Below are 20,417 nucleotides of genomic sequence, written 5' to 3'. Positions count from 1 at the left end.
CCAAATCTACATCTGATTGGTGTACCTGAAAGTGATGGGGAGAATGGAACCAAGTTGGAAAACACTCTGCAGGATATTAACCAGGAGAACTTCCCCAACCTAGCAAGGCAGGCCAACATTCAAATTCAGGAAATACAGAGAACGCCACAAAGATACTCCTCGAGAAGAGCAACTGCAAGACACATAATTGTCAGATTCACCAAAGTTGAAATGAAGGAAAAAATATTAAGGGCAGCCAGAGAGAAAGGTCAGGTTACCTACAAGGGGAAGCCCATCAGACTAACAGCAGATATCTTGGCAGAAACTCTACAAGCCAGAAGACAGTGGGGGCCAATATTCAACATTCTTAAAGAAAGAATTTTCAAGTCAGAATTTCATATCCAGCCAAACTAAGCTTCATAAGTGAAGGAGAAATAAAATCCTTTACAGACAAACAAATGCTGAGAGATTTTGTCACCACCAGGCCTGCCTTACAAGAGCTCCTGAAGGAAGCACTAAACACAGCAAGGAACAACCAGTATCAGCCACTGCAAAAACATGCCAAATTGTAAAGACCATCGATGCTAGGAAGAAACTGCATCAACTAACGAGCAAAATAACCAGCTTACATCATAATGACAGGATCAAATTCACACATAACAATATTAACCTTAAATGTAAATGGGCTAAATGTTCCAATTAAAAGACACAGACTGGCAAACTGGATAAAGAGTCAAGACCCATCAGTGTGCTGTATTCAGGAGACCCATCTCACGTGCAGAGACACACATAGGCTCAAAATAAAGGGATGGAGGAAGATCTACCAAGCAAATGGAAAACGAAAAAAGGCAAGGGTTGCAATCCTAGTCTCTAATAAAACAGACTTTAAACCAACAAAGATCAAAAGAGAAAAGGAGGCCATTACATAATGGTAAAGGTATCAATTCAACAAGAAGAGCTAACTATCCTAAATATATATGCACCCAATACAGGAGCACCCAGATTCATAAAGCAAGTCCTTAGAGACCTACAAAGAGACTTAGAATCCCACACAATAATAATGGGAGACTTTAACACCCCACTGTCAACATTAGACAGATCAACGAGACAGAAAGTTAACAAGGATATCCAGGACTTGAACTCAGCTCTGCACCAAGCAGGCCTAATAGACATCTACAGAACTCTCCACCCCAAATCAACAGAATATACATTCTTCTCAGCACCACGTAGCACTTATTCCAAAATTGACCACATAGTTCGAAGTAAAGCACTCCCCAGCAAATGTGAAAGAACAGAAATTATAACAAACTGCCTCTCAGACCACAGGGCAATCAAACTAGAACTCAGGATTAAGAAACTCACTCAAAACCGCTCAACTACATGGAAACTGAACAACCTGCTCCTGAATGACTACTGGATACATAACGAAATGAAGGCAGAAATAAAGATGTTCTTTGAAACCAATGAGAACAAAGACACAACATACCAGAATCTCTGGGAACATTTAAAGCAGTGTGTAGAGGGAAATTTATAGCACTAAATTCCCATAAGAGAAAGCAGGAAAGATCTAAAATTGACACCCTAACATCACAATTAAAAGAACTAGAGAAGCAAGAGCAAACACATTCAAAAGCTAGCAGAAGGCAAGAAATAACTAAGATCAGAGCAGAACTGAAGGAGATAGAGACACAAAAAACCCTTCAAAAAAATCAAAGAATCCAGGAGCTGGTTTTTTGAAAAGATCAACAAAATTAATAGTCCGCTAGCAAGACTAATAAAGAAGAAAAGAGAGAAGAATCAAATAGATGCAATAAAAAATGATAATGGGGATATCACCATCAACCCCACAGAAATACAAACTACCATCAGAGAATACTATAAACTCCTCTACGCAAATAAACTAAAAAATCTAGAAGAAATGCATAAATTCCTGGACACATACACCCTCCCAAGACTAAACCAGGAAGAAGTTGAATCCCTGAGTAGACCATTAACAGGCTCTGAAATTGAGGCAATAATTAATAGCCTACCAACCAAAAATACTCCAGGACCAGATGGATTCACAGCCGAATTCTACCAGAGGTACAAATGGGAGCTGCTACCATTCCTTCTGAAACTATTCCAATCAACAGAAAAAGAAGGAATCCTCCCTAACTCATTTTATGAGGCCAATACCATCCTGATACCAAAGCCTGGCAGAGACACAACCAAAAAAGAGAATTTTAGACCAATACCCCTGATGAACATCGATACAAAAATCCTCAATAAAATACTGGCAAACCGAATCCAGCAGCACATCAAAAGGTTTTCCACCATGATCAAGTTGGCTTCATCCCTGGGATGCAAGGCTGGTTCAACATATGAAAATCAATAAACGTAATCCAGTATATAAACAGAACCAAAGACAAAAACCACATGATTATCTCAATAGATGTGGAAAAGGCCTTTGACAAACTTCAACAGCCCTTCATGCTAAAAACTCTCAATAAGTTAGGTATTGATGTGACGTATCTCAAAATAATAAGAGCTATTTATGACAAACTCACAGCCAATATCATACTGAATGTACAAAAACTGGAAGCATTCCCTTTGAAAACTGGCACAAGACAGGGATGCCCTCTCTCACCACTCCTATTCAACATAGTGTTGGAAGTTCTGGCCAGGGCAATCAGGCAGGAGAAAGAAAGAAAGGGTATTCAATTAGGAAAAGAGGAAGTCAAATTGTCCCTGTTTGCAGATGACATGATTGTATATTTAGAAAACCCCATTGTCTCAGCCCAAAATCTCCTTAAGCTGACAAGCAACTTCAGCAAAGTCTCAGGATACAAAACCAATGTGCAAAAATCACAAGCATTCCTATACACCAATAACAGACAAACAGAGAGCCAAATCCTGAGGGAACTCCCATTCACAATTGCTTCAAAGAGAATAAAATACCTAGGAATCCAACTTACAAGGGACGTGAAGGACCTCTTCAAGGAGAACTACAAACCACTGCTCAATGAAATAAAAGAGGACACAAATGGAAGAACATTCCATGCTCATGGATAGGAAGAATCAATATCATGAAAATGGCCATACTGCCCAAGGTAACTTATAGATTCAATGCCATCCCCATCAAGCTACCAATGACTTTCTTCACAGAATTGGAAAAAACTACTTTAAAGTTCATATGGAACCAAAAAAGAGCCAGCATTGCCAAGACAATCATAAGCCAAAAGAACAAAGCTGGAGGCATCACGCTACCTGACTTCAAACTATACTACAAGGCTATAGTAACCAAAACAGCATGGTACTGGTACCAAAACAGAGATATAGACCAATGGAACAGAACAGAGCCCTCAGAAATAGTACCACACATCTACAACCATCTGATCTCTGACAAACCTGACAAAAACAAGAAATGGGGAAAGGAGTCCCTATTTAATAAATGGTGCTGGGAAAACTGGCTAGCCATATGTAGAAAGCTGAAACTGGATCCCTTCCTTACACCTTATATAAAACTTAATTCAAGATGGATTAAAGACTTAAATGTTAGACCTAAAACCATGAAAACTCTAGAAGAAAACCTAGGCAATACCATTCAGGACATAGGCATGGGCAAGGACTTCATGACTAAAACACCAAAAGCAATGGCAACAAAAGCCAAAATTGACAAATGGGATCTTATTAAACTAAAGAGCTTCTGCACAGCATAAGAAACTACCATCAGAGTGAACAGGCAACCTACAGAGTGGGAGAAAATTTTTACAATCTACCCATCTGACAAAGGGCTAATATCCAGAATCTACAGAGAACTCAAACAAATTTACAAGAAAAAAACAAACCCCATCAAAAAGTGGGTGAAGGATATGAACAGACACTTCTCAAAAGAAGACATTTATGCAGCCAAAAGACACATGAAAAAATGCTCATCATCACTGGCCATCAGACAAATGCAAATCGAAACCACAATGAGATACCATCTCACACCAGTTAGAATGGCAATCATTAAAAAGTCAGGAAACAACAGGTGCTGGAGAGGATGTGGAGAAATAGGAACACTTTTACACTGTTGGTGGGAATGCAAACTAGTTCAACCATTGTGGAAGACAGTGTGGCAATTCCTCAAGGATCTAGAACTAGAAATACCATTTGACCCAGCCATCCCATTACTGGGTATATACCCAAAGGACTATAAATCATGCTGCTATAAAGACACACGCACATGTGTGTTTACTGCAGCACTATTCACAATAGCAAAGACTTGGAACCAACCCAAATGTCCATCAATGATAGACTGGATTAAGAAAATGTGGCACATATACACTATGGAATACTATGCAGCCATAAAAAAGGATGAGTTCATGTCCTTTGTAGGGACATGGATGAAGCTGGAAACCATCATTCTTAGCAATCTACTGCAAGGACTGAAAACCAAACACCGCATGTTCTATCTCATAGGTGAGAATTGAACAATGAGAACACTTGGACACAGGGTGGGGAACATCACACACTGGGGCCTGTCGTGGGGTGGGAGGAAGGGGGACGGACAGCATTAGGAGATATACCTAATGTAAATGATGAGTTAATGGGTGCAGCACACCAACATGGCACATGTATACATATGTAACAAACCTGCACATTGTGCACATGTACCCTAGAACTTAAAGTATAATTTAAAAAAAAAAGGTATAAATATTAGTTCATTACTTATAAAAAAATAAATAAATAAATTTCAGGACTCTGTTTCCTTCTTTAGGCACCCGGGCTCACCAATCAGACATAATTTTTGCCCAAAGCCCGACTGCAGAGTGGGGACTATCTGGAATTTTAGGATCCCTCCTCAGACTAGCAGGCCTAACAAAGGCTATTCCCGAAGCTAGGATATGGGGAGCCTCAGAAATTATATCCTTCCTATTCATATGATAAGAAGTGAGGACAAAAGGCATCACTCTTCCAACCCTGGAGATCCCTTCCCTTCCTCAGGGTATGGCCCTCCACTCCATTTTGAGGCACATCAGCTTTATAGGACAAGAGTAAGGTCCCAATACCAACAGGAGAAAATGCTTAGGACTCTAACAGGTTTTCGAAAATGTGTCAATAAGGCCCACTAAATCCGATTTTTCTTGGTCCTCTTTGTGAGCTAAGAGGAAAGGCAAAGGTACAGGTTTTCGAGAATGCGTCAGTAAGGGCCACTAAATCTGACATTCCTTGGTCCTCTTTGTGGTCTAGGAGGAAAACTATTGTTTCTGCTGCTGCTTTGGTGAGCACAACTATTCTGAACAGCAGGGTCCACGGACCGTTGCAGGTTCTTCGGCAGGGGTAAAAAACCACAGGCAGTTTTCTCTTTTCTGATGGGAAACGCTCAGGCATCAACAGGCTCACCCTTGAAATGTATCCTAAGCCCCTGGGACCAATTTGACCCAAAAAACCTGAAAAAGAAGCAGCTTATTTTTTCTGCACTATGGCCTGGCCCCAGTATTCTCTCTCTGATGGGGAAAAATGGCCAACTGAGGGAAGTATAAATTACAATACTATCCTGCAGTTTGACCTTTTCTGTAAGAGGGAAGGCAAATGGAGTGAGGTATCTTACGTCCAAGCTTTCTTTTCATTGAAGGATAATTCACAACTATGCAAAGCTTGCAATCTACATCCCACAGGAGGACCTCTCAGCTTACCTCCATATCCTAGCTTCCCTACAGCTCCCCTTCCTATTAATGATAAGCCTCCTCTAATCTCCCCCACCCAGAAGGAAACAAGCAAGAAATCTCCAAGGGACCACAAAAAAAACCCCAGGCTATCGGTTACATCCCCTTCAAGCTGTAGGGGAAGGGAAATTTGGCCCAACCTGGATACATGTCCCTTCTACCTCTCTGATTTAAAGCAGATCAAGGTAGACCTGGGGAAGTTTTCAGATAATCCTGATAGGTATATAGATGTCCTACAGGGTCTAGGGCAAACCTTCAACCTCACTTGGAGAGATGTCTTGCTATTGTTAGATCAAACCCTGGCCTTTAATGAGAAGAATGTGGCTTTAGCTGCAGCCCAAGAGTTCGAAGATACCTGGTCTCTTAGTCAAGTAAATGACAGAATAACAGCCAAAGAAAGGGATAAATTCACTACCAGTCAGCAAGCCATCCCTAGTACGGATCCCCACTGGGACCCAGACTCAGATCATGGGGACTGGAGTCACAAACATCTGTTGACCTGTGTTCTAGAAGGACTAAGGAGAATTAGGAAAAAGCCCATGAATTATTCAATGATGTCCACCATAACTCAGGGAAAGGAAGAAAATCTTACTGCCTTGCTCCAGCGGCTACGGGAGGCCTTAAGAAAATATACTCCCCTGTCACCCGACACCCTTGAGGGTTAATTGATCCTCAAAGATAAGTTTATTATGCAATCAGCTGCAGATATCAGGAGAAAGCTCTAAAAGTGAGCCCTGGGCCCTGAACAAAATCTGGAGGCATTATTAAACCTGGCAACCTCAGTGTTCTATAATAGGGACCGAGAGGAACAGGACGAAAAGGAAAAGCAAGGTAAGAGAAAGGCCGCAGCCTTAGTCATGGCCCTCAGACAAACAAACCTTGATGGTTCAGAGAGGACAGAAAATGGAGCAGGGCAATAACCCGGTAGGGCTTGTTATTAGTGTGGTTTGCAAGGACACTTTAAAAAAGACTGTCCAGTGAGAAACAAGCGCCCCCTCACCCATGTCCACTATGCCAGGGCAATCCCTGGAAGGCACCCTGCCCTAGAAAACAAAGGTTCTCTGAGCCAGAGGCCCCCGACCAGATGATCCAACAACAGGACTGAGGGTGCTCAGGGCAAGCACCAGCTCATGTCATCATCCTCACTGAGCCCCAGGTAAGTTTAACCATTGAGGGCCAGGAAATTGACTTCCTCCTGGTCACCAGCGCGGCCTTCTCAGTGTTAATCTCCTGCCCCAGACAGCCGTCCTCAAGGTCCATTACCATCCTAAGAATCCTGGGACAGCCTGTAACCAGGTATTTCTCCCACCTTCTCAGTTGTAATTGGGAGACTTTGCTCTTTTCACGTGCCTTTCTTGTTATGCCTGAAAGTCCTACACCCTTATGAGGGAGGGAGATATTAGCCAAAGCTGGAGTTATTATTTGCATGAATAACAAGTTACCCATTTGTTGTCCCCTAGTTGAGGAGGGAATCAACCCTGAAGTCTGGGCATTGGAAGGACTAAAAATGCCCACTCAGTCCAAATCAGGCTAAAAGACCCCACCACTTTTCCTTATCAAAGGCAATATCCCTTAAGGCCTGAAGCTCTTAAAGGATTACAGGATATTGTTAGACATTTAAAAGCTCAAGGCTTAGTAAGAAAATGCAGCAGTCCCTGCAACACCCCAATTCTAGGAGTACAAAAACCAAACAGTCAGTGGAGACTGGTGCAAGATCTTAGACTCATCAATGAGGCAGTAATTCCTCTATATCCAGTTGTACCCAACCCCTATACCCTGCTCTCTCAAATACCAGAAGAAGCAGAATGGTTCACTGCTCTGGACCTCAAGGATGCCTTCTTCTGCACTCCCCTGCACTCTGACTCTCAGTTTCTCTTTGCCTTTGAGGATCCCACAGACCACACATCCCACATCGACAGTCTTGCCTCAAGGGTTTAGGGATAGCCCTCATCTGTTTGATCAGCCACTGGCCCAAGATCTAGGCCACTTCTCAAGTCCAGGCACTCTGGTCCTTCAGTATGTGGATGATTTACTTTTGGATACCAGTTTGGAAGCCTCATGCCAGCAGGCTACTCTAGATCTCTTGAACTTTCTAGCTAATCAAGGGTACAAGGCGTCTAAATTGAAGGCCCAGCTCTGCCTATAACAAGTCAAATATCTACGCCTAATCTTAGCCAGAGGAACCAGGGCCCTCAGCAAGGAACAAATACAACCTATACTGGCTTATCCTTGCCCTATGACATTAAAACAGTTGCGGGGGTTCCTTGGGATCACCAGCTTTTGCCAACTATGGATCTCTGGCTACAGCAAGATGGCCAGGCCACTCTATATGCTAATCAAGGAGACCCAGAGGGCAAATACTGTATCTAGTAGAATGGGAACCAGAGGCAAAAACAACCTTCAAAACCTTAAAGCAGGCCCTAGTACAAGCTCCAGCCTTAAGCCTTCCCACAGGACAAAACTTCTCTTTATACGCCACAGAGAGTGGGAATAGCTCTTGGAGCACTTACTCTAACTCATGGGACAACCCCATAACCAGTGGCATACCTAAGTAAGGAAATTGATGTAGTAGTAAAAGACTGGCCTCACTGTTTACGGGTAGTTGCAGCGGTGGCCATCTTAGTATCAGAGGGTATCAAAATAACACAAGGAAAGGATCTCACTGTCTGGACTACTCATGATGTAAATGGCACACTACGTGCCAAAGGAAGTTTATGGCTATCAGACAACTGCCTGCTTAGATACCAGGCGCTACTCCTTAAGGGACCGGTGCTTCAAATATGTACTTGTGCAGCCCTCAACCCTGCTACTTTTCTCCTAGAGGATGGAGAACCAATCGAGCATGACTGCCAACAAATTGTGACCCAGACTTACGCCACCCAAGAGGATCTCTTAGAAGTCCCCTTAGCTAATCCTGACCTTAACCTATATATCGATGAAAGTCCATTTGTGGAGAATGGGATACAAAGGGCAGGTTATGCCATAGTTAGTGATGTAACAGTACTTGAAAGTAAGCCTCTTCCCCCAGGGACCAGCACCCAGTTAGCAGAACTAGTGGCACTTACCCGAGCCTTAGAACTGGGAAAGGAAAAAAGAATAAATGTGTATACAGATAGCAAGTATGTTTATCTAATCCTACATGCCCATGCTGCAATACGGAAAGAAAGGGAGTTCCCAACCTCTGGGAGAACCCCCATTAAATACCTCAAGGAAATCATGAAGTTATTGCACACAGTGCAAAAACCCAAGGAGGTGGCAGTCTTACACTGCCAAAGCCATCAAAAAGGTGAAGGAGAAAAGGCAGAAGGAAACCGTCAGGCAGACGCTGAGGCCAAAATTGCTGCCAGGCAGAATCTCCCATTAGGAATACCTATGGAGGAACCCTTGGTATGGAACAACCCTCTCCAAGAGATTAACCCCCAGTATTCCCTGACTGAAACAGAATGGGGACTTTCACGGGGGCATATTTTTCTCCCCTCGGGGTGGTTAACAACAGAAGAGGGAAAGGTACTCATACCCAAAGTCAGTCAGTGGAAAATACTTAAGACCCTCCACCAAACTTTTCATATAGGTATTGAGAACATTCATCAAATGGCCATATCCCTATTTACAGGGCCAAATCTCCTCCACACCATCCAGCAAGTAGTCAAAACCTGTGAAGTGTGCCAAAGGAATAATCCCTTGGTCCATCGTAAGGCCCCTCTGGGGGAACAAAGAATAGGGCACTATCACGGAGAGGACTGGCAGTTAGACTTCACCCATATGCCTAAGTCAAGGGGATTTCAATACTTGTTGGTCTGTGTTCATACCTTTATAAATTGGATAGAAGCCTTCCCCTGCAAGACAGAGAGGGCTGAGGAAGTGGTTTAAGTCCTAATTCATGAAATAATTCACGAGCAATGAAAAGCCCATACACAGCCCTGTAACCATGAAACCGTCTTAACTTCCCAAGCCCCTTTATGCATGCAGCGCAACCTGTTATCAGGCCTGCCCCTGGGGCACCTACTATCCCATCAGCATAATTACACCCTACAACTTCAAGCCCCAACTGATCATAGTAACTTCTGAGTCACCCAAACAGCTCCATTCAGATGGCCTGTCTGCTTCACAGGGCCTCCAAAAATCATCACTTCCTCCCTGCTTAACAAACAGTCCGGGTTTTGTCATGGCAAACATACTCCCTGCATGACCATTCACCTCTGGACCCCCTGCAGCAGCGCCCCCACCGCTAGTGAATGCCTTCTCCTCCCTTCTTTCAATTACTTTCTTGAATGCTTCCTAGTAGATACAAAACGGTTTTTTCTCCAATGGGAAAATAGAACACAGAGAGCCACTCAGTTTGCTCCCAACACCCCTTCCCAGCCGCTCACCAGAGCTACCTTGGCAAGTACTTTAGGAGTATGGGAAAATGAAAACAACAAATTCACACACCTTTTTAACATACACAACCAGTTCTGTCTACCCAGCGAAGCCATATTCTTCTTATGTGGAACTTCAACCTATATCTGCCTCCCCACCAACTAGACAGGCACCTGCACCTTAGTCTTCCTAAGTCCCAACATTGACATTGCCCCAGGAAATCAGACCCTATCAGTGCCCCTCAAAGCTCAAGTCCATCAGCGCAGGGCCATACAACTAATACCACTACTTATAGGGTTAGGAATGGCCACCACTACAGGAACCAGAATAGCCAGTTTATCTACTTCATTATCCTACTACCACACACTCTCAAAGGATTTCTCAGACAGTTTGCAAGAAATAACAAAATCTATCCTTACTCTACAATCCCAAATAGACTGTTTGGCAGCAGTGACTCTCCAAAACCGCTGAGGCCTAGACCTCCTCACTGCTGAGAAAGGAGGACTTTGTACCTTCTTAGGGGAAGAGTGTTGCTTTTATACTAACCAGTCAGGGATAGTACGAGATGCCACCAGGTGTTTATAGGAAAAGGCTTCTGAAATCAGACAATGGCTTTCAAACTCATCCCAACCTCTGGAGTTGGGCGACATGGCTTCTCCCCTTTCTAGGTCCTGTGACAGCCATCTTGCTATTACTCGCCTTCAGGCCCTGTGTTTTTAATCTCCTTGTCAAATTTGTTTCCTTCAGGATCGAGGCCATCAAGCTACAGATGGTCTTACAAATGGCACCCCAAATGAGCTCAACTCACAACTTCTACTGAGGACCCCTGGACCAACCCACTGGCCCTTTGACTGGCCTAGAGAATTCACCTCCAGAGGACACTACAACTGCAGGGCCCCTTCTTCGCCCCTATCCAGCAAGAAGTAACTAGAGCGGTCATCACCCAATTCCCAACAGCAGCTGGGGTGTCCTGTTTAGACGGGGGTGGGGGGAGATTGAGAGGTGAAGCCAGCTGGACTTCCTGGGTTGACTGCAGACTTGGAGAACTTTTCTGTCTTACGAGAGGATTGTAAAATGCACCAATCAGCACTCTGTAAAAACACACCAATCAGTGCTCTGTAGCTAGCAAGAAGATTCTAAAATGCACCAACCAGCACTCTGTAAAATGCACCAATCAGCGCTCTATAAAATGCACCAATCAGCGCTCTGTAAAATGCACCAATCAGCAGGATCCTAAAAGTAGCCAATCACAGGGAGAACTGAAAAAAGTGCACTCGGATAGGAAAGAAACAGAACGTGGGAGGGGCCAATAAGGGGATAAAAGCTGGCCACTCCAGCCAGCAGCAACAACCCGCTCAGGTCCCCTTCCACACTGTGGAAGCTTTGTTCTTTTGCTCTTCACAATAAACCTTGCTACCGCTCACTCTTTGGGTCTGTGCCATCTTTAAGAGCTATAACACTCACCGCCAAGGTCACGGCTTCATTCTTGAAGTCAGCAAGACCACAAACCCACCAGAAGGAACCAACTCTGGACACACTAATACTTAAAAGACACAATAGACGGGGCACAGTGGCTCATGCCTGCAGTCTCAGCACTTTGGGAGGCTGAGATCAGCAGATCACTTGAGGCCAGGAGTTCAAAGATCAGCCTGGCCAACTTAGCAAAACCCTGTCTTTACTAAAAAGAAAAAAATTAGCCTGGTGTGGTGGCACACACCTGTAATCTCAGCTACTTGGAGGCTGAGACATGAGAATTGCTTGAACCCAGGAGGCAGAGGTTGCAGTGAGCTGAGATCATGCCACTGTACTCCAACCTGGGCAACAGAGTGAGACTCTGTCTCCAAAAAAAAAAAAAAAAAAAAAAAACCCCAAGCAGCTGGGTGGCTCACATCTGTAATCCCAGCATTTTGGGAGGCCAAGGTGGGCGGATCACCTGAGGCTGGGAGTTCAAGACCAGCCTGACCAACATGGAGAAACCTCATCTCTACTAAAAATACAACAAAAATTAGCCAAGGGTGGTGGCGCATGCCTGTAATCCCAGGTACTCAGGAGGCTGAGACAGGACAATCGCTTGAACCCGGGAGGCAAAGGTTGTGGTGAGCCAAGATTGCACCATTGCACTCCAGCCTGGGCAACAAGGGCAAAATCCATCAAAAAAAAAAAAAAAAAAAAAAAAAGCAAAACAACACACCACAAGTTTGTCAATTACTTTGAAGAGGAAATTACATTTTAGTGATTTTCACATGAACATATACTGCTTTTGTAAGTAGAATAAGCAAAGAAATCAAAACTCAACACACTGATATGTGTGATGACCCTCAGAATCCCTTAGGGGCTGCAGCCCTATTGCCCCCTACTCTCTCCATATATGCCTACATTCAAATACTTGAGCGCCTTCGTGCACAACTCACTAGGCCCTGAGGATAGATAATAGCGACATAGAGTCCCTGATTACAGAAGCAGGGACTTGTAATCAAAAAGGACCTTGTAATCAAAAAGAAAACAAAGTGTGGGAGTACTATGAGAGTGAAAGCACGGCATCCAAATGGAAACACGTAACAGGAGAACCTAACCTCACCTTGAGGAAGATCCGCAGGAGAGGAGCACCAGCACTTTCTCCTGTGGGCTGACTACCGACAGAGTAATGCCATGGCCACTATCACTTTACGCCAACTCTACAGTCTGAAAATCAAACAGTGGATGGTGTATGGTGAACACTGAAAAGAATACCCCTCATTTCACAAAGCCCAGCAGCACTGTGACAACTGTGGAAGTGATGATCATGTACACTGTATCCCTTTGATAAAGCCAGAGTGGAAACAAAGAACTTATCCAAGGACTGGATCAAGAAGTTGGGAAAGGAGATGCAAATTCTATGCCCTGTCTCAGCATGAAAACAGGCTGATGAAAAGGGACCTCACTGCTTCATAAGTAACTTTCACACTTTTGTACAGTATGACTGTCATGCAGAATTTATCCCAGTTTATGACCTAAAAGAAGGAATCAAGTCCTTGCTTATCATTCTCAAACAGGTGATAGACAAGATGAAGAATATCAAGAAGAACCACAGTTCAGCCTAAAACCCCACATGTTCACAAAAGACTGAAGAAATTACTGAAAACCTTTTATTAATATTTCCTCAAATATTCTCTTGTGCATTCTTTTTATTTCAAGCTCCTGCTCCCTAGAAAAACCTGTGGTGCATATATATGTATATGTGTGTGTGTGTGTGTATATATATATATATTTTTTTTTTAAACCAGTTCTGTTCATAGATGAAACTCTGAAGTAAAGAGAATCAAATACTTAAAGTATTCATTATCTTGAAAAATGAAGAACTGACATATATAAGCACCCTTGTGTAATCAAGTGCTAATTCTTGGTATGCAAAGGAAATAGTACAAGATTCAGGCCAGCGCAGTGGCTAACGCCTGTAATCCCAGCACTCTGAGAGACCGAAGCAGGCTGATCACTTGAGGTCAGGAGTTCGAGACCAGCCTGGCCAACATGGTGAAACCCCATCTCTACTAAAAATACAAAATTTAGCCGAGCATGGTGGCGTGTGCCTGTAATCCCAGCTACTCGGGAGGCTGAGACGGGAGAATTGCTTGAACCCGGGAGGCGGAGGTTGCAGTGAGCCGAGATTATGCCACTGCACCCCAGCCTGGGCAACAGAGTGACACTCCGTCTCAGAGAAAGAAAAAAAAAAAAAAAAAAGAAAGAAAGAAAGATATAAAAGAAATAGTATAAGATTCATAACCTTTTTAAAAAGTTACTTTAATCAGTGTTTCCATTTTATTCTTCAACTATTGGTTATCTTATTCTATCCAATAAGAGCACAAATGTAGTTAGTACACCCTTCTGCCACACGTCAGCAGAAAATTCCCAAAAGCAAATCCCCACTTCCTCTATAACGACCAATTCCTAAAGACAACTTATCTTCTTTCTCTCTTTTGTATGGGTTTCTCAGAGGTAAATAGCATGCAATGTTTTAATACAGTGCTAGGAACATAATTAGACTATGGTCCTAGTATGCTATTATTTTAACTCTGCCAAGTTTCAGTTTTGGTTCCTTGGTATATAAAATAAAAGACTGGAATCTAAAGTTCTCTGAATCACCTTTCAGTACTGACACTCAATGAGGCATACCGTACACATACAAGTAAAAAAATAAGCATAGCGTTGTGGAAAGAATAAACAGACCTGAGCTAAAACTCCCCCGACACCTATGGGTTGCCTGGCATTGGACAAATTATTTACTCTTAGAGACCTCTTTCCTTATTTGCTACCTACCTATTATGACCAACAAATAAAAGAATATAAATAATTTGTTAAAAGTGCTTAGCATGATAAGGCCCCAATCCTCCAGTAAGTGATTCACTCTCACTTACCAGCAAATTTTCACTCTTGACAGTTCTTTCTTTGGGGGGTTGGGGAGGGATGGGGAGGAACAGAGTCTCACTCTGTTGCCTGGGCTGGAGTGCAGTGGCAAGATATCTTGGCTTACTGCAACCTCCACCTCCCGGGTTCAAGCGATTCTCGTGCCTTAGCCTCTCAGACAGTTCTTTCTTAATACTTTTTTTTTTTGACTATTTATAAACAAACTTCAGTGACTAGACAGGATTTACAGTTTAACAAATTAGGGGGTAATTTCATTCTAACACATTCAGAACTACTTTATAAACATATATGCAGAATAACAACTCAGAATAACAATTTAGAACTGCCAAATAATGTATTCGGTGCTGCACACTGCCGTAACAGTGCCTTAACAATTTTACATACCTTGTATACCATATAAAACTGAAACAGAACTTCATAAAAAGTGAAATCTATCCACAACGTGTATGACTAACTACAACATTAGATACAAAAAGGGTCCCTGTCATTTTATTAGGGGATATAGAATCTTTTGAATCAATGCTTCCCCTTTTTTACCATCTTTGCAGTTCAGAGTTCCAATTACTGCTAAACAAAATTAACAGAAAGCAAACTCCAAGAGACTTTCAGTAAAGAAAGGCTGAACACCCCAAAATCATTCAGCATATTTACAATATGTAAATTATCACAAAGCAAAACCTTTATACAAACCATGAAATACAGCCCAATAGAGTAAAAAGCCCTAGGATAGAAAGTAGTGAAAGACTCATTAACAGTAGCGTTGACACATGGCTTCAATTGCAACTGTAACAATTGCATGACTGATCTGTTTGTCAACTGTGGCACGTGTTCCCAGTCAGGGGTTCTGCTAATTGAAAGTTAGAATCATAAGACATTTAAAGATTGTGCAGGAACAGCATTATTCGTACTTGGTACTAGAAAGCAGTAAACCGATTCTGACTTGGTTAAATTTAAAAATCTCTTTCAGTTGTAATACACAAGAACTTCACTGTTAGGCCGTACGCGGTGGCTCACGCCTGTAATCCCAGCACTTTGGGAGGCCGAGGCGGGAGGATCGATTGGGCCCAGGAGTTCGACGTCGGTGAGCCATGATCGTGTCACTGCACTCCAGACTGGGCGACAGAGCGAAACCATACCTCATTCGTTCATTCATTCATTCATAATTAATAAAATAAGTACAACGCACTTCTACATAATCTAAGCGTATGGAAATCCACGGTATAAACCGGTCCATCCTCCACATGGAAATTAACTTCGGCTATATTATCTCCTCCACCTAAGAGCCAGTGCCTGAAAGCCCCCCCGAATACGCTGATGTAGCTTTTTACTGTATCACTTAGGTGAAAAGATTCTTTCCTTAAATATGAAAAGAAAAACTATGTAGTAATGACACAAAAAGAATATGTTAACTGTAAAGTCAAGATTATGAAATGTTCCCGTGGCTCAGTTTTTTTAGGAGCAATCTGGAGCTGCGAATTTTCCCGTCGCCGCCAGCTGGACCGACAGACAAGGCTGGAAAGGGTTATCAACATACCTGGAGGAAGCTGCAAATTAGCAGGAAACTGGATTGTCGTGGTGTTGGGGGCTTTCACGGCGACTATCTGAGGAGCAGGCAGCCTAGGGCCGCTGCTGACTTTAGGAGGGGCGCTGACCGGAGCCACTTTGGTCACCAGGGTCCCCACGGGGGACCGCAGGGGCTGGGACGCCGTGGGCTCCACGCAGACGCTGACAGGAGCCTTAGTCACGGCGCCCAGGGCCACCGGAGTGCTCTCCACCCGCACCGGCAGCGCCCCGGCCGGGGCCATGGTCACGGTCCCCGAGGCGCTCACAGCAGCCGGGGGAGCGGCGCCGGCGGGTTCGGTGAGGCCGGCGGGCATCCCCCAGGGGCTCAGCGGCAGCTTTGGCGCTGCGGTTCCGGGAGCAGAGGTGAGGGGAGGCTTGGCGCGCGGCAGCCGACTCCGGTGCGGTTCGGGTTCCACAGCATCGCTGGGGAGAGGCGCGGGGGCCGCAGCAGCGAAGTCAGTGACGGGCGCCCGCTGCACGGCAGGACACGCGCGTCCCGGACCTTCCTCTCGTCCGCGCGAGCCTGGGCTGCCCCCGGAGCGACACCCGCCCGACCTCTCGCAGCTTCCTCAGCGGCGCTCACACGTGCGCTGCCTCAGCCCTGCGCCTCAGGCTCGGGTCCCGCTGCGGGGGAGCCTGGACTTGCGGCTCCCGGAAGGTCGTCGCTCACACCTCGAGCCTAACTGCGCAGCTGCTCCCCCGCCAGAAATTTCAAAACTACGAACCCCGAGTGCCCACAGCCCCCTACGCGCGATTGGCACGGCCCCGCCGCGCGGCCACGCCAGCCATGTTTATATAGCCACGCGGAGACCTCGCGCACGCGCCCAGGCCGCCGCCACCGCCCCGGGTTTCCCCGGGATCCGGCCGCGTGATTGGCCAAGGAGCGGAGCCGCGCCCGTGACGTCACTGGGGACGGCTCCAGGGAGCGTTAAAATCTTCCCCAGAATCGCCAGCAAGGAGGGGCGATGCCAGAAACCTATCACGTGGGAGGGGCAAGCTGCACTTGGAAAACTGCGGCATCCGTGTTCCTCTCCTTGTGTCCCCTGTAGTGTGTTCCTCGAAAAGCCAGCACTAGACTATCTCCAGGATTCTATTTTTTAAGGAGAAAATGGGGAGGACTGATTTCCGAGAAGAGTGACTCAATAAGAATTCAATCACGCATTTTCAGTGTTTTTCTCTGCTGTCTTCACACTGAAGCGTTGCTAAAATTCGCAGTTAGAATTGACATTGTAAAAATTAAAATGGCGTATAGTTTTATAGTCTGTGAGATGTGCCTATTTTCATATTTTAGAGTTAAACTGCCTAAAATCTTAAATGGAAAATCGTTTCTTCTTTGGTGCTGCTATAGGTGTCTCTATCACCTCTAAACATTAAAATTGTATGTCTGTCTTCTGAAAAACTTAATGCCTTTTGATATCTATATAATTAGATTCTAGCACTTAGATATTAAGCGTGATCCTAGATATTATCTGGATAAATAAAAGGTGTTGAGTGAATCGATATGAAAAAACTTGCCTGTTTGTAATGCAGTCAGAGAAGATGCCTTAATTTCAAGCTAAAGTCATTATATTGTATGTTTGTAGGAACCAACACTGCACTGAAAGGCGATTTTACAAGTAGGCAGATGCTATGATCTGAATGTTGTGGTGTTTTGTTTTGTTTTGTTTTGTTTTGTTTTGTTTTGGAAACAGGATCTAACTCTGTCACCCAGGCTGGAGTGCAGTGGCACCATTGGCTCATTGCAGCCTCCACCTCCTGGGCTCAAGTGATCATCCTACCCTCCTACCTCAGATTCCCGAGTAGCTGGAACCACAGGGGAGCGGCACTATGCCTAGCAAAAACGGGATCTCGTTATATTGTCCAGGCTGGTCTCCAATTCCTGAGCTCCCGCCTGGGCCTCCCAAAGTGCTAGGATTATACCCCCAACTGAGTGTTAAAATGCTAAAGCTGGAGTTGATAATATTAGAAGGTTGGGCCTTTGAAAGGTGATTAGATCATAAGGGTGGAGCCCTCATGAATGGGATTCCATTCAGGACAAATCATGTTAAAGTGATGAATATGTTAACTTGATTTAATTATTTCACGACACATACAAATGTAACATGATACCTCATAAATACATACAATTATTATTTGTTAGTTAAATACATTAAATAAATAATTTTTTTAAAAAAAGAAACCTCAGAAAGATCCCTCACCCCTTCCAGCAAGTGAGGTTATGGTAAAAAGACTGCTGTCTAGAAAGTAGACTCTCATCAGATACCACATCTGCCTTGATCTTGAACTTCCCAACCTCTGGAATTATGGGACATGAATTTCTCTTTTTATAAGCTACCCAGTTTATGATATTTCATTATAGAAGCCCGAGTGGACTAAAATAGCAGGCAACCTGATGGTTACAGCTCCTGCTTTTCCCCCTCTCTGTAAACGTGTGCCGGCACGTTTAGATAAGATCTACTCACAAGATCTAGTAAAGTCCACACACTTACTACCTTTACTGTCTCTCACTTCTTGACCAGTCTAAATCCATCTCATGACCTAAACCAATCACCCTCCCTTTCTATGGTGAATTCCCTGATCACTTACCTTCTAGCAAATGCCTCAAAGTGGAGTTGGGGAGAGAAAAACTCAATTTATTGAGCACCTCCTGTGTGCTGGTCACCAAGAGATGCATTTCCTTTTTCTAACTGCTTCATTTTACAAACTTAAAAACTGCAGTTAAAAGAGTAATGTTTCCAAGAAGCTGGAATTCAAACTCATCAGTATGATGCCAAAGTACATCTCTTTCCATTACTCCAAAACGTCTGATTAATCATGTATCCCACAGTGCCCTTGGCAAAATGCCTTGAGCATAAAAGGCATTTAATAAATACTTGCTAAGGTAATGAATTGAATGAAGCTATGCAACATTTTCAGTGAAGCAAAATGGTGTAGTGTATTTGAATCTTAGATATGTTCTTCACTAACTGGCCAAATTATCCCCGATTTTTTTCCCTCCATATAGTATGTTTCAATAGATACTTGGGTACGGAAGCATCAAAGTTTGTTTATAGAACTCTCCCTTTCTAAATTTCCACTAGACCCCCACCATCAATTCACACACTTTGTTTAGATAGGCAATTAACCTCCACCATCAAATTACAAAGAGACTTGGTTGGGGAACTATATTTTTTCATAAAGTTAACCTCATGCATTTCCCTCTCTCTCTCTCTCTCTGGTGTATGTGTGTGTGTGTGTGTGTGTGTGTGTGTGTGTGTGTTTCGGCAGGGCAGGGCTGGGTGGGGGTGAGGTCGTGCAAGGGAGAACAGGGTATCCCTGTCTCTGTCACCCAGAGTAGTTCAGTGAGGCCATCATGGCTCACTTGCAGCTTCAACCTCCTGGGCTCAAGAAATCCTTTCACCTTAGCCTCCCAAGTAGCTGGGGACCACAGGCTGTACCACCATGCCTGGCTAATTTTGTTTGTTTGCTTGTTTGTTTGTTTTGCAAAGACAACGGTCTAACTGTTAGGTTGGTGCAAAAGTAATTTCGGCAATATGTTGCCAAGGCTGATTTCAAACTCTTGGACTCAAGTGATCCTCCTGTCTCAGACTCCCAAAGTGCTGGGATTACAGGCGTGAGCCACCCATTTTTCTTATAATTGTTTATAATATGCAAATGCCTGATGTGGTGGTTCCTGCCTATAATCCTAGCACTTTGAGAGGCCTCAAGCAGGAGGATTGCTTGAGGCCAGGAGTTTGAGACCAGCCTGACCAACATGGCGAAACCCCCTCTCTATTAAAAATACAAAAATTAGCTGGGCTTGGTGGTACACACCTGTAATCCCATCTAATTGGGAGGCTGAGGTAGGAGAATCGCTTGAACCTGAAAGACAGAGGTTGCAGTGAGCTGAGATCGTCCCACTGCACTCCAGCCTAGGTGACAGAGCAAGACTCCATCTCAAAAGAAAAAAACAATTATTAACCAATAAACAGATACTCATAAAAAATTAGATTACACACAAAACTATTAATGGAAGATATTTCTATTTAGAGACATTCCAAGTGATAGTTTTTGTCTCTCTGCATTTTCTAATTTTCCTACAGTGAATGCGTCTTATTTGCATAATCCAAAATTAAAACAAGCTTTTTCTTAAAATATATATTCTTAGTGACAATTGAAATCTGTAAGCACAGCTAAATACTCTCCAGTCTCCTCAACATAGCATCCAAGTACCTTTAATGGATCTCATGAACCTGGACAAATATGGTAGCTTGCTGAAGCTATGCCAAGCTGAAACTTATTACAAATACTGTCTTAACCTAAGAAGACAGGCTATTTTCTCAGTGAGAGTAATCATTTCTTTTCACTTCACATTAAGTGTGGAAAAAGTAATAAGACTGTTTAAGAAGCCAAAAATCCCAAAAATAGTATTTCTTTTGTAAAAGA

At 43.7% G+C, this 20,417-nt stretch overlaps 1 protein-coding gene across 7 annotated transcripts in view, besides 4 other annotated features; it reads right to left on the bottom strand.

The window, feature by feature from the left end:
- Positions 1-16,795, bottom strand: part of TAF4B (TATA-box binding protein associated factor 4b) — a 165,241-nt gene extending 148,446 nt beyond the window's left edge. For all 7 annotated transcript variants that reach the window (NR_121653.2, NM_001293725.2, XM_024451239.2 and 4 more), the window contains exon 1: positions 15,964-16,795. Coding sequence is in view for 6 of the 7 variants with exons in the window: in NM_001293725.2 (NP_001280654.1) it covers positions 15,964-16,306 (343 nt within the window). In the remaining variant the exon portion in view is untranslated. The remainder of the gene's footprint in view (positions 1-15,963) is intronic.
- Positions 10,936-11,131: a silencer, noted in NCBI's record as "fragment chr18:23812073-23812268 (GRCh37/hg19 assembly coordinates)". NCBI's record gives its function as "represses an EF-1alpha promoter that drives an FKBP-Casp9 reporter gene in an ReSE screen in phorbol 12-myristate 13-acetate-treated (for megakaryocytic differentiation) K562 erythroleukemia cells {active_cell/tissue: K562(+PMA)}" and the evidence as "EXISTENCE:reporter gene assay evidence [ECO:0000049][PMID:32094911]".
- Positions 16,156-16,315: a silencer, noted in NCBI's record as "silent region_9371". NCBI's record gives its function as "represses an Ori minimal core promoter by ATAC-STARR-seq in GM12878 lymphoblastoid cells {active_cell/tissue: GM12878}" and the evidence as "EXISTENCE:reporter gene assay evidence [ECO:0000049][PMID:35858748]".
- Positions 16,966-17,065: an enhancer, noted in NCBI's record as "active region_13182". NCBI's record gives its function as "activates an Ori minimal core promoter by ATAC-STARR-seq in GM12878 lymphoblastoid cells {active_cell/tissue: GM12878}" and the evidence as "EXISTENCE:reporter gene assay evidence [ECO:0000049][PMID:35858748]".
- Positions 17,096-17,165: an enhancer, noted in NCBI's record as "active region_13181". NCBI's record gives its function as "activates an Ori minimal core promoter by ATAC-STARR-seq in GM12878 lymphoblastoid cells {active_cell/tissue: GM12878}" and the evidence as "EXISTENCE:reporter gene assay evidence [ECO:0000049][PMID:35858748]".

The sequence above is a fragment of the Homo sapiens genome, chromosome 18 (assembly GCF_000001405.40).
Source record: "Homo sapiens chromosome 18, GRCh38.p14 Primary Assembly".
Taxonomy (NCBI): domain Eukaryota; kingdom Metazoa; phylum Chordata; class Mammalia; order Primates; family Hominidae; genus Homo; species Homo sapiens.
Note: the sequence above shows the minus strand (reverse complement) of the source record. Positions and strands in the feature narration are given on the sequence as shown.